General features: G+C 37.6%; 1 long non-coding RNA gene across 11 annotated transcripts in view; it reads left to right on the forward strand.

Annotated features, from left to right (window-relative positions):
* LOC102724036 (uncharacterized) overlaps positions 1–13,395 on the forward strand; it is a 247,231-nt gene that overhangs the window by 222,171 nt on the left and 11,665 nt on the right. For 10 of the 11 annotated variants that reach the window (XR_007061623.1, XR_007061624.1, XR_007061625.1 and 7 more), the window contains 3 exons: positions 3,764–3,855; positions 5,664–5,700; positions 8,206–8,308. This is a non-coding gene — a long non-coding RNA (uncharacterized LOC102724036). The remainder of the gene's footprint in view (positions 1–3,763; positions 3,856–5,663; positions 5,701–8,205; positions 8,309–13,395) is intronic. The other variant, XR_007061626.1, reaches the window with a different exon arrangement.

The following is a 13,395-nucleotide window of genomic DNA, read 5'->3' on the forward strand; positions in this document are numbered from 1 at the left end:
GGTAGAGTCAGGATTTGAACCCAGGGAGTGTGGCTTCAGAGTTCATATTTGTAAATAACACAATCAACTGCCTCTTCTGTAAACTGAGCATGTTCACCACAAGTTGGAGGTGACAGCATGTGCAGAAGAAAACTAAGCATCTGTACATTAGGTAAGAATGGCCATGAAGACGGGGCCCGAAGGATACCAAGGCAATGAGCTGGCAGGCCTCAGCTGCAGATGGGGATGGAGCAGGCCCTACATAGGCTGGACCTGGAGACCAATGCTCTAATCTCCATATGGTGGACTCCTCCTATTGGACAGAGAGAAACTTTAATTAGCTGCCTCCAAATGGAGTTTGCCTCCAAATGGCCATTCTTGGGTTTTCTAGACTAATGCGAAAGTTTTCACCGTGTTCCAAATTTTTCCTGTGGGTACATCTTCCTATCTGAGATGCCTGTGAGAACATACCTAACCATTCCCCTTGGAACATAAAAGGATGACTCTCACTGTGAAATAAGGTGAGAAACATTTCTTTCTGCCTGCTCATTCATGGGGCCTGAGAATCTCTTGGAATTGCCATAAAAATCTTCAGAGTTCCATATTGTTTCCACGGCCCTCCTCATCTCCCTTTGCTATTGTTCTCTGAAATGAAGGTATGGCTGATAAACTGTCTTCTTCAAAGATTTGCCTTTTTCCTCAATCCCTAAGTAGTGTTGAAGCAAAAATTCTATTTCAAAGAAAATTACTGAGAGTTCTAATTACAGTTATTGAAATCCAAATTCTACACAGCACTCTCTTCAATTATGAACAGTGTTCATAAGTAGGGTCACTTATCTAGAAAATTATTAAAAATTCAATGTACATGAAAGCCTCAAAAGTCCTTGAAAGGCAAATGTTAGGAAAGGGCTGTTTCCATGACAACATCTCCTCATCCTCTTTGATCCCTTGCTGCCCATTTTCTAGTAAACACCTACTTTGAATTGCAACTTTCTTATTTAATAATTTCAACAAACGTTGGGAAAATGTGTTGCTCATTCTCCATCAGTGATTAGAATTTTCCTGAATTTTGATATCATGCTAACCAGTCCTTTCCCAAAGCCATCCTTTACTGGAGTAGAAAATGTTCTCCTTACTCTACCTTTTCTAAAAGATTTAAAGAATGAGAGTATCTTTGCTGCAATACTTTCTTGGCTCAGAGACAAGTGGATTTGCAGTGTCTGATAATGTTCCACACAATAACATATTTTCCCTTTTCACAATTAAGTTTATCATCTAACTGCCTAGCCTATCATTCAAAAAATAAATTGTCATGGATTTCATTGACTTTACATCAATCTGTTGGTTCATTGGTCAAATCATCAGGGCATTGCAGACGCATGTTTGGGAACTCACTTTTAATAGGAAAGGAGAGGCAAGGAAGCAGGTATGTCATAATCACAAGTCTGAGATTGATTGCATTAAAAAATAATTTCAGCAAAAGTCTGTATCATCACCTTTGTGCTTGAAGAGCAGCAAGTGATACAACCCCAAGCCACTAACATATATGGCAAGAAGGAGAAGCAGAAGAAAACCAGGGAAAAGAAAAAGCAGATACTCATTGCCCTAAGAAAAATAATTTTGTAATCACAAAATTAAATTACTCTGCTGTGAATCCCAGTGAAGAAATGGCCTTGTTGGAATGGTTTGATGTGCTCTCACAGGCATCTCAAATGGGAAAACATACCCACAGGAAAAATTTGGAAGGCAAACAGTAAAAACTTTCACATTAATCTGGAAAACAAAAGAGTGGCCATTTATACCTTATGCCTAACTCTAAAAAACTCTTAAGTGCTTTGCAGTTTATTTTTGGAAAAGAGAGTAGGAGAAAGAAGAAAGTGGGGCAGAATAACAGGGAGAGAGGGAAAGAAACAGATTTTTTTTTTCCTTTTGGTCCAAAAGATGTTAAAAAGAATGTTACTCTAAGGGAAGAGTGGTATTTTCTACCTCATTGGTGAATCTTGGGCTAGTCCTACAGAGGCGGAAGGCAGCTCACAGCAGAGTTTGCTGGCCTCATCGCTTGCCCTCTGACAAATATCCTTTTCTCTGACAGAGCAGCTGTTAATTCATTTTGAGTAATGCTGACTGAGCTCACAGACCTAAAGTACAGACAACTTTGCTATTAACAGGAGGGTAGAAGTAAAGGGAATATAGGACAAACATTCATACAAAAAGCTGAAATATAAAAATTTAATCAAAATCAAAATCTGAAATACAAAAATTTACCGTAAAAACTGATCTGGGAATGATAGTTGATATAGGCTTTAAAAATATATTGGGTTGTTTAGGTTATAAAAAAATACATATTAATTGTAGAAGACATTGAAAAAAAGAAGAGTAGAAGAAGGGGAAAAGACTTTTCTACTACCTATACTCCATTATTAAGAGTTGGGGGGTATTTTATTTTTTCTCTTGGCAATGGTTCTTATGTCTGTTCATTTATTTTGTATAAGTATGGTCATCATATATATATATCTGTATTTTACATTTTAATTTTTATGCCAATGGTAAATATTTGTTGACTGAATAATACAGCATCTAAATTTCTGTGTAGTTTAGTGTTTTATAAACATAATTTTAATGGCTGCATAACAGTGTATCATGTGGAGATGGTATAGCTGGCTTAACCATCCACAAATTGGAATATTCAAGTTGTGGCTAATTTTTTACTATAATTAATAATTCCAGGTGGATCCTATCTATTAGACCATTGATGGTAAAACCAGGTTAATGGGGCCACCTTGTAAAAATTTATCTTAATGTAGGCAAGCTTACTACAGTTCCTGGGCACTATATATCACACAGGTCCTGTAGTGGGCTTGAGATAATACACAAATCAAAAAGACTGAATAAGACATGATCATTTTTATTTTCCAGTAGGGTAAATAATATGTCAGCAAAAAATTATAATGTTGGGAATCAGAGCCAGAAATGAGGCATGAAAACTATGCATGAAGTAACTCCTTGGAAAGTCACAAAAGGCATCTCTAAGGACGTAATAGATGAGACAGGTCTTGGAGGATAAGTAGGCATTTGCTCAGCAAAGAAGGGAGCTCTTAGATACAGCGAGAAGAGCTGTGGAAGATAAAAGGATGAATAGGAATTGGGGATTTAAGACCTAGTGAGGAATAAAGATATTTGAAAGAATATAAGGCAACATAAGATCAATGTATATGGAGGGCAACAAACAAAAAATGATAGTAGGTAAAGGAAGGGAGACATAACTTCCATTAAAATGTCACAGGGTTAGCTGAACTTCTAAGGATCCAGGTTTGTTAAGTGGTAGCAGATGGAGGAGAGGAGATGGGGAGAAGGACACACCAGGTGAGCAGGAGAGGCAGGAGCAAAGCTGGGGAGGGACACCTTGCAAGCTGTGTTTGGGAAACCAGCAGTGTACTTTGGCTGGATTTTATGTCAGGGTGTGCACAGAGGTAGGGTGGAAATAGTGCTATAAAGATGTTAGCCCCAGAGACTCTTAGAGAGTCTTTAGGTGAGATTAAGTTTGGGAATGGGAATATGAACCCAAGAAAAGATTTATAAAATAGGTGAGTGGCAGATAAGAACAGAATCTGTCCATAGATAGATGGGAAAAAAGTGATTGACAAACCAGTAAGAAAGTTCTTTTGGTGGTCTAGACTTGAAGTCATAAATACCTGAGCTGAAGTAATGACAGTAGCCTGGAAATAAAGAGGCAAATTCACGAGCTATTTCAAAGAAATAACTAATGGAATTGGCAACTCTTCAGGTGTGGTGAAAGAAGAGAAAAAAATGTCCAAGATGACTTCAACGTTCTGACCTTGAGTGGCTTGAGTGAATGGAGTTACAACTGTGCAGAAAGTGAGTTTTATGGAAACAACAAATGCAGTTTTGGTTTTGTTGAATTTGAGGTGCTGATGAGAGACCCATGTTCCACATAGTTCATTGGCAAATTGAACTGTGGAGCTTAGAGGATCTTATTAGTACCTTATCTAAAAGGTCCCATTATATGTGATTTATGGGACATCAGTTAGGATTAATAAGGAGCTCAGCAATTAAAAAGTTTCAGATGGGGGTCTTTATTTATTGAGCTATTTAAAAAATATGTAGATGTAAGCTAGAAATTAGAGGATTTTTGCCCCCAAGGAGATCTGTTTAAAATTCTTGGAAGTTTATCTGAACCTTTCAGTAGTGATTTTACTTTGCCAATGTGTAAAGGTTGCTGAATGCTAACAAATCAAGCCTTAAAGGTAATTGTTTGAAAAATCACTTTGGGCACACATGACATCATCTCAGACTCTTATGATAACTCAGATGTATGAGGGAATCAAAACCAGATGAGTTTAGTGGATTTGCAGATTACTCTCAAAGTTCTCAGCCCTCAGAGTTTTCCAGTTGAACAAATACTCTCTCTGGAAGATTATTTAAAATATTCAATGATTTACCTCTTGGCCTACTTTTGTTCTGAACTTAAGTGGAGGGTGACCAGAGGGCAACTCCACAGCATCAGATATGAGAAACATCAAACATTAGTGTTTATATCCATGCAGCAAGAAGCCATGGTGTCTTTCCCACTTTTTATTCATCAGTCACTTAAAATATTTTAAAATTTCCTCCAGAACTCACTGTTAAAATTGAGAAACTGGCAGTCAATCCAAAAGCTGAAACTTTGGATGATGCTTTGGAAATACCATTGTCATTTTAGATATTTGGATTTCCTCCCTTTTTCCCTTCCTCTCTTCCTCCTTCTCCTTCTCCCCCTCCTTCTCCCCCTCCCTCCTCCTCCTCCTCTTCTTTTCTCCTCCTTCTTCGCCTTCTCCTTCTTCTTCTCCTCCTCTTTTCCTCTTTCTTTCTCTTTCTCTCTTTCTTTCTTTCTTTCTGTCTTTCTCTCTTTCTTTCTTCTTTTTCTCTTTCCTCCTCTCCTCTCCTTTCCTTTCCTTTCCTTTCCTCTCCTCTCCTTTCCTTTTTTTCTTTTTTAACAGGGTCTTGCTCTGTCACCCAGGTGGGAGTGCAGTGGTGCAATCATGGCTCACTACACCCTCAACCTCTAGGGCATCAGTGCAATCCTCCCACCTCAGCCTCCTGAGTAGCTGGGACTACAGGTGTGTGCCAATGTTTTCCTTCAAGATTGTGAACATTTTGTTGTTTCCTTCCTACTCCTTGTCTTGTGAACCACCTTGAATCAGTGTGGCGACTACACAATATATATATAAGATATTCTTAAGAGGACATTGAATTACCTCTTCTAAGAAAATAATTATATTAATTCTTTTAATTCCGTAAATTGAATATATAGGTTCTAAAAAAATATGTTTTTTGAGTTTTGGATTGAAGTTTCTACTGGATATGTTTTATTATAAACGGAGGAGATTTATATATTTACTTATTAATGGTGATAACCTATTAATCATCAAATCACTCTTAAATACTGCATATTGTTCTTTACATAGGATCTGAGATACACTGGGGACTATGTTGTACAGAATGCATGATGAGAAAGAAGTATTAGTAGATATCAGTAACAGTCTGTCTTTTAAACAATGTTGATATAAAAACTTATTTTGCTCAGTTTCAGTCCAATTATTTGCCCCCCTAATTTGCCACAGCCTAGTTATTTTAAAATTAATTAATCTGAACTTTTTTTTTCTTCCATGTACCATATTGATTAGGATTCAGTAGAGAGTTTTGGATTTATGCACCAGTAAGGTAAATGAATAATAATAATATTTCAAAATAGAGTTGTCAGCAGCTAATTTTGCTATGTAAGGACATTGATCATTGATACGGAACTCTTGTAGTCATTGCTAGTGTTCACCAATGTTAGGTTCTCCTCTCCTTTTGGGGTACACAGGAAGACTATATTTGCCAGTCTTTTTTTCTATTTAGATAGGGCCATGCAATTGAGTTATGGCCAATGGAATATAAACAGATATGACTTGGCTCAATTTCAGACCAAGGCAATTAGAACCAGAGTTTTTTCTTCACTCTTTCTCCCTTCCCTCGTGCCTCTGGTTGAAGTGAATAACTCCAAGGTGGTGGATCTTCACAATAGATGTTGCCTGGATTCCTGAGTCACTACTTGGAGGTTATCTCCCTAGGAGAACTACCTACCTGTTCCACAATGGACTGTAATGTCAGAGAATCGCTACTACTAATTATGTAGTAAACTACTATTTAATAAAAGGAAGGGTGATTTAAAATCAAAATAAGTAAGAAGCATGCAATCTCCCAATTTCAAGAAATTGAATACATTTTTTTTACTGACACTGCTGACTGCCAAAAACATTGTCACTGCCTGGCATTTAGGCGACCCTGACATGGTAATTGAGGGCAGTGACTGGAGCAGACAGACCTGGGGTTGAGTCCTGGCTCTGTCACTTCCCACTTGTATGGCTTTAGCGTGTTACTTAACATCTCTGAGCCTCAATGTCTTTATTTGTCAAATGGGGATTATAATAATATCTGTAATTTAAGTTGGTGTCAGAATTAAATGAGACAACAAATGGCTTCTTGTAAGTGCTGGACGATTGTTGGTTATATAATCTATCTTGGGTTCAGAGAGGATCTTCATCTCATTTTTTCTCATGTTTCCTCAGACTTAATACTCACAATTTTTAATATTTTATAAACAGGAAATTAAAATATAAACATTTCAAAGTCCACTGAAATAATTTTCCTGACATTTTGGTAAGAAATTTCTGAAAATAGGAAACTTGCTGTTAGGAAGAGTTAAAAAAGATGATGAGGCTGATATATTGGGAATAGATGTTTGGGTTGTGAAGCTTTGGGTTAATTAAAGAAATAAAAACAGCAGTGATGTTATAGAATCATGTTCCCTAGCCTGGAACATGTCCATGAGCAAAGTGGGGTATTGATAGAGGCAAACAGAAGGTTCTGGTATGTTCTAGTGTATTCTACACAAAGTCATCATGGATGGATATAGATATAGCATTAAAATCATATAACTATATTTGTAAGAGGATAAATTTAAATTATGGATCAATAGGTAGATATTTTTTCTTTTTGGTAGATGTTATATCAGACTGGGCAAGTATAATTGCCTTACATATGTCTCTGGAACCATTTTGATTAGCATTGGAAGTAAAAAAAAAAAAAAAGATTACTTTGCATGATACTGTGTCCGTTTATTTAATCTTTAACATGTTCCCAATAGGAGACTTCTTTATTAACAACAATACTGGACCCTGGACCAATCAGACCAAGAATTCAGCCACACAACGCACTACATCTAGTTGCTCAGAGATTTTTTTTTACCTTACCATCTGACTCTGTAGTCATCTTATTATATGTAATGGAGTCTTAGTATAAGAAAAGGGATGAGGTCATAGTGATAAACATCATTTTCTGAAAATTTGCTGCAGGTAAACTTGCTTTAAAGAAATTCCTTTCCAGGAAGCACATGTCAAGTTATATACATTTTGAAAAAACTTAGAAATTTATAACTTTTTGATTTTGATTTGACTACATTATCAAAGTGCATTTTTTATATCTTGGAAATTTTTTGTCATTAAAGTATCATGTTACATGTGGTGAAATAGTATTTATATATAAAAAATACATATTTCTATTTCACCACATGTAACATGATACTTTAATGACAATAAACTAAAATTGATACATAAAATTTTAAAAATACAAACATATAAAATGCAAATATATATATAATTTTGGAGATGCTTGCTATTAACTTTCGAACATAACCACCCCTACTATTAGTCATGGTTATTAGCAATAGAGAAAACATAATTCAGTCTCCCTAGTTTAGGCAAAAGTGATATTTGATGAATCTATCTAGTTTATAGTATCATTGGAAGACCTGATAAACAGGTTATAACTTGAACCTACAAGCATAACTCCCTCAGTTCCACACATACCTAGATTTCCAAGCTAACTGCCACCTTCACCACAGTCAGGAAATAGCATATTTATCTCTGGAACTCTAGCTGCAAGAGAGTCTAGTAAATATAGTTCATGCCCCATCATCTGCAGTGCTGAAAGGCATGCTAGAGGGTTTTGAATGGAGATTGAGCCAATGACAATATCAGTCCCCCTGGTAATGCATGAAATGTGACAGACCCTTTAAAGAGGTAATTAGAGGTCACATCTTTTGTGTCTTATATAAGGAAATTGTCATAAAGTAATTGCCATTAACATTAGTTTCTTGATAATGAAAAAACATTTTTATCTAAGGGGAAAACTGAACAGCTGCAGAGAGCTGTAACTTTTATAGGAGATTAATCTATAAGAGAAGACAGCAAACTACAGCCTGTGTGTCAAATCCTACTTGCCACGTGTAAGTAAAATTTCTTGGAATATAGACATACTCATTCGTATATGTACTTGTCTATGCCTGATTTCATGCTGCAATGGCAGAGTTACATAGAACCACAGAAATCATTTGACTCACAAAGCCCCAAGTATTTGCTATTTGGCCCTTTACAGAGAAACTTTGCAGACCTCTGATCTATAACCCCATTGTATAGTCTTGTAAAAACTCATTGAAGTTAATACTGAGTAGTGATCTTATGAAATAATATTGGTGAATTTTTATATTTTAATATTTTTTTATTTTATATGGGTGAGGTCAGTGTGCCAAGAATACACACACACACACACACACACACACACACACACAATCAAAATAAAACAAAAAGCATGCCATACTTGCAACTATGGAAAATCAAGTTGAGAAATTTGGAGTTCTAATTATGTTTTTATACAAGAATCCCCTAGATTTGATGTTTATGCATAACTGGGACTATCTTTTTAACAGATTTTTGTATGATTTTCCAAGCCAAAATTCTCTCATTTGTTCACTGGGTCACATGACAAGTTAACTGATTCTGACAGCCTCTTTACAATAGGATGCTAGAAGTAACAAAGTCAACTAGGTGACTGTCATCAAAGTACCAAAAAGAGGACAAAAGATTGTGTCCGGTTGACTTAAAATGATGAGCTTGATCATCTAATTTTTCGTGGCTCTCTTGAGCAATATAGTGTTGTTGTTTTTTCAAAACAATTTCAACCAGAGTATCAATCTCCATTTGCTTCTGCTAAATTATTAAAAACTACATCCCTTCCCTTCATTTTTGGAGTAAGATATGGCTATGACTGATCACTTATGTATGTGTAGACTTGGCATATCCATCGTGTAATTTTTTACAAATTCCTCCAATTTCATGAAGTGGCATCTTACTCCTATTGAGAGCATTCTTACCTGCAGTTAAAGAGTTGGTGAGCAAGAAAGGCCATGTAACACACAGATTAAAAAATAAGCAAAATTCCTGGGCATCCTACTGTTTGTAAGACCCTTGTTTCTCACCCATAAGCAAGGATACTTTCTTCCTTTTTAGAAGGACATTAGATAAATTGAGGGCATTTGGGGACACTATTGGATGGAATAAACCATGTTCCCATCTTGGGTTGGAAAAGAGACTGTTTCCTTCATCCTGTTTCCTTCATCATTCTTATGATGACTAAGTCTTTTTATAACCCATCTGTGCCATTGAGGGGCCGAATTTGGCCCAGTTGGGGATTTGGCCAAGGAAAAGGTATGTTACTGGGTCTGTTCTTCCCATAATTCAATTGAATTTCTTGTTTGCAAATTCTGGCCATTTTCTGTACTGCTGGGAAAGATGATTAGAAGAGTATGTGTTCTGGAAGCTGTGGACATTCTATGCTCTCACTCAGCTCTAGCTTCATATTGGAGTGAGGGGGAGAGTTAGTGGGAGAATTTTCCTCCTTTTTGGCTCTATTTGGCGAATTATTTCACATTCAATAAATGGAAGGGGAGAATCGAGGCCTGAGTAATTGACAGTGAATAATGGTTACATGCAGCGAATAATTATCAGGACAGTATTAGAGTAAGTAACAAGAAAAACAACTGGCAAAACATATGGGATCACACCACAGTAGCTGTGAGAGCAATTTTCAGCCTTCTATAAATTTCAAGATCGTTTTGAATGTCAACAGTTACGGTTTTCTGGTTGGCCCTGAAAATAAAGCTTCCACATAGAACCTTCTGTATCCCATCCTCCAGTTACTTTAATCCCTTGTTGCTTACCTAATCTTTTCTTCAGTTGTTTAGCAGCTAACTTCCAGATATCATTTGGCTGTGCCCCACCAAATCTCACCTTGAATTGTAGCTCCCATAATTCCCATGTGTTGTAGGAGGGACCTGGTGGGAGATAATTGAATTATGGGGACAGTTTCCCCTATACTGTTCTCATGGTAGTGAATAAGTCTCACAAGGTCTGATGGTTTTGTAAGGGGAAACCCCTTTCACTTGGTTCTCATTCTCTTATCTGCCGCCATGTAAGACGTGCCTTTCACCATCTGCCATGATTGTGAGGCCTCCCCAGCCACGTGGAACTATGAGTCCATTAAATCTCTTTTCCTTATAAATTACCCAGTCTCGGGTATGTCTTTATCAGCAGCGTGAAAACAGACTAATACACTTCCACTTTCAGGAAAAGTGTGCCTAGAAATGTTAGCGTGGCAGAGATTTGCTGTATGCTCACCAAACTCATTTCCTCTTTCTGGCCACTCAACTAGACTGCCTTTCCCAGTCCACCTGCTTCTAGGTGGAGTTGTGTGAAGAATGCCAGAGGAAATGACGTAGCCACTCTAGGGCTGACCCAGAAAGCATCCTGTCCTATTCAATATATTCCCTCTCTTCCCCACTCTTTGTAGGTGGGTGATACAAGAGCAAATTTGTATTGAAGATGGAATAGATATTACATGAAAGGAGCCCTGATCCCTGAGTCACTATGGGAGGAGACGCACCCAATCAGAAATATGTGCTTTGAACTTTGCATAGTGAGAAATAAACTTTCATTGTGTTAGGCCACTTGGAATTTGGGGTTCTTAGAACAGTTAGTTTATCCCAACTAATACATTGAGCAGCTCACTCATCTGTGTTTGTGAACATTCATTATTCATCAGTTCATCATTAATGCAGGTGACTCACAGTTCACTTAACATAAGGAAAAGTCCTAAAACTATGGGATTGTTAGAATCACAAGGCCCTTTTGTTCTGGCGATGTTTGAATTAGCTTCTTCAGGGGCCATTGAACTAGTCGGTAATTGTGAAAGCCACTTTAGGAGATTGTTTAAGTGCAATCCATTTTGAAGGGAAGGTGATGGGGTAGCTTGGGTTTTCACTTCAGGTGCAATAATGCACAGTGTGTTGTGTTCTGTTGCAAGGTATAGCATAAAGGATTGTTAATAATGGTTAATGTGCTGAAGTTTCTGAGTTTTTAAATCTTTTTATTTTAAAATAATTACAGACTCAGAAGAAATTCCAAAAAGTATGTGAGGGTGTTCCATGGACCTCTTACCCTTGCTTTCTCCAGTAATGATATCTTGTATAAAAATAGAACACTATAAAACCAGGAAATTGACCTTGGTACAATCTATAGAACTGACTTAGATTTCACCACTTACACATGCACTGTTTGTGTGTGTGTGTGATTGCATGCAATTGTATCACATGTGTAGCTCATGTAACTACCACTCACAATCAAGATGCAGAACTGTGCCATCATCACAAGAATGCCTCATGCTAACCCTTCACAGCCATGCCTGCATAGCCACGCCCTTCACAGCCATGCCTGCACTCCAGCATTCTCTCCTCCCATTTCCTAACTCTCATTTGTTCTCCATCTCTATAATCCTGTGATTTTGAAAATATTATATAAACAGAATCGTATTGACCTTTTGAAATTGACTTTTGCCACTCAGCATAATTCCCTTGAGGTCTGTATTTGTTAGGGTTCTTCAGAGAAACAGAACCAATAGGTTATATAGGAAGGAGATTTATCATGAAGGGCCGGCTCACATGATTATGGAAGCTGAAAAGTCCTACAATCTGTGATCTACAAATGGGAGGCCAGAAAACTGGTGGTGTAGTTCCAGTCTAAACCCATGGTCCAAGAACCACAGAAGCCAATGGTGTAGGCCCCAGTCTGAGTCTCTCTGCAGGCCTGAGAACCAGGGAATGGATGGTGTAAGCCCCAGTCCTAGTCTGAAGGCCTAAGAACTGGGACTGCCAATGACTGAGGGCGAGGAGAGGATGGATGTCCCAGCTCAAGCAGACAGAGAGCAAATTCACCCTTCCTCCACCTTTTTATTCTATTCAGGCTCTCAATGGATTTGATGATGCCCACTAACATTGGTGAGAATGGCTATTCTTTACTCAGTCTACAATTCAAATGCTAATCTGTTGTGGATGTGTCCTCACATACCCAGAAATAATGTTTTCCCAGCTATATGGGCATTGCTTAGCCTAGTCAAGTTGATACATAAAATTAACCATCATGAGTCCACCCTTGTCAACTTGGCACCCATATGCATCTCCTTAAACCATGCTTAATTACCAAGTAAAGAAAATAACAAGGTCATAATTCTACCTAACAGGATTCAACTGCCCTGCATGCAACTAAAAATGCACTAATCTCTTTCCCAGAAGAGGAGGTAAAAATCCTTGAGTAATGTTTACTCTTCTCTTGACATCTCATCATTTAAATACTATAATGTAAAGTTAACAGTACTTAAGTACTGATATAAAGTCAATACATTTTATGTAACATGATAAGGGAATAAGAGAGGAAAGAAAACAAAAGTATTTGCTTAATGCATCTATCTACACAAACACACACAAACATATTCATAACAAAATAAGGAGGAGATACTCATGACAATTACCATCCTCATTTCTGTGACTGGCCGCGTGGCCACAGCTGATATTTATAATCACATTTTTCTACTACCTATTCAGTATTCTCTTTGCCTTTAGCAAGCACCTCAGTGGTCATGGTTCTTTACTTGATGGGGTGACCCAAACCTTTGTTCCTGAAGGGTCTGGGCCATTAGCATTCCTGTATGGATTAGGTTGTTCTAGTTTCTATTGACCTTAATCATAGGGCATGGTAATACTAAGAGATGCCCTAAGGGATTGCTTTTATTCCAGACATATTCTTCTTTTTTTTTTTTAAATTATACTTTAAGTTCTAGGGTACATGTGCACAATGCGCAGGTTTGTTACATATGTATATATGTGCCATGTTGGTGTGCTGCACCTGTTAACTCGTCATTTACATTAGGTATATCTCCTAATGCTATCCCTCCCCCCTCCCCCCACCCCACGACAGGTCCCAGTGTGTGATGTTCCCCACCCTGTGTCCAAGTGTTCTCATTGTTCAATTCCCACCTATGAGTGAGAACATGCAGTGTTTGGTTTTCTGTCCTTGCGATAGTTTGCTCAGAATGATGGTTTCCAGCATCATCCATGTCCCTACAAAGGACATGAACTCATCCTTTGTTATGGCTACATAGTATTCCATGTGCCACATTTTCTTAGTCCAATTTATCATTGATTGA

This window comes from Homo sapiens, chromosome 9 (assembly GCF_000001405.40).
Source record: "Homo sapiens chromosome 9, GRCh38.p14 Primary Assembly".
NCBI lineage: Eukaryota > Metazoa > Chordata > Mammalia > Primates > Hominidae > Homo > Homo sapiens.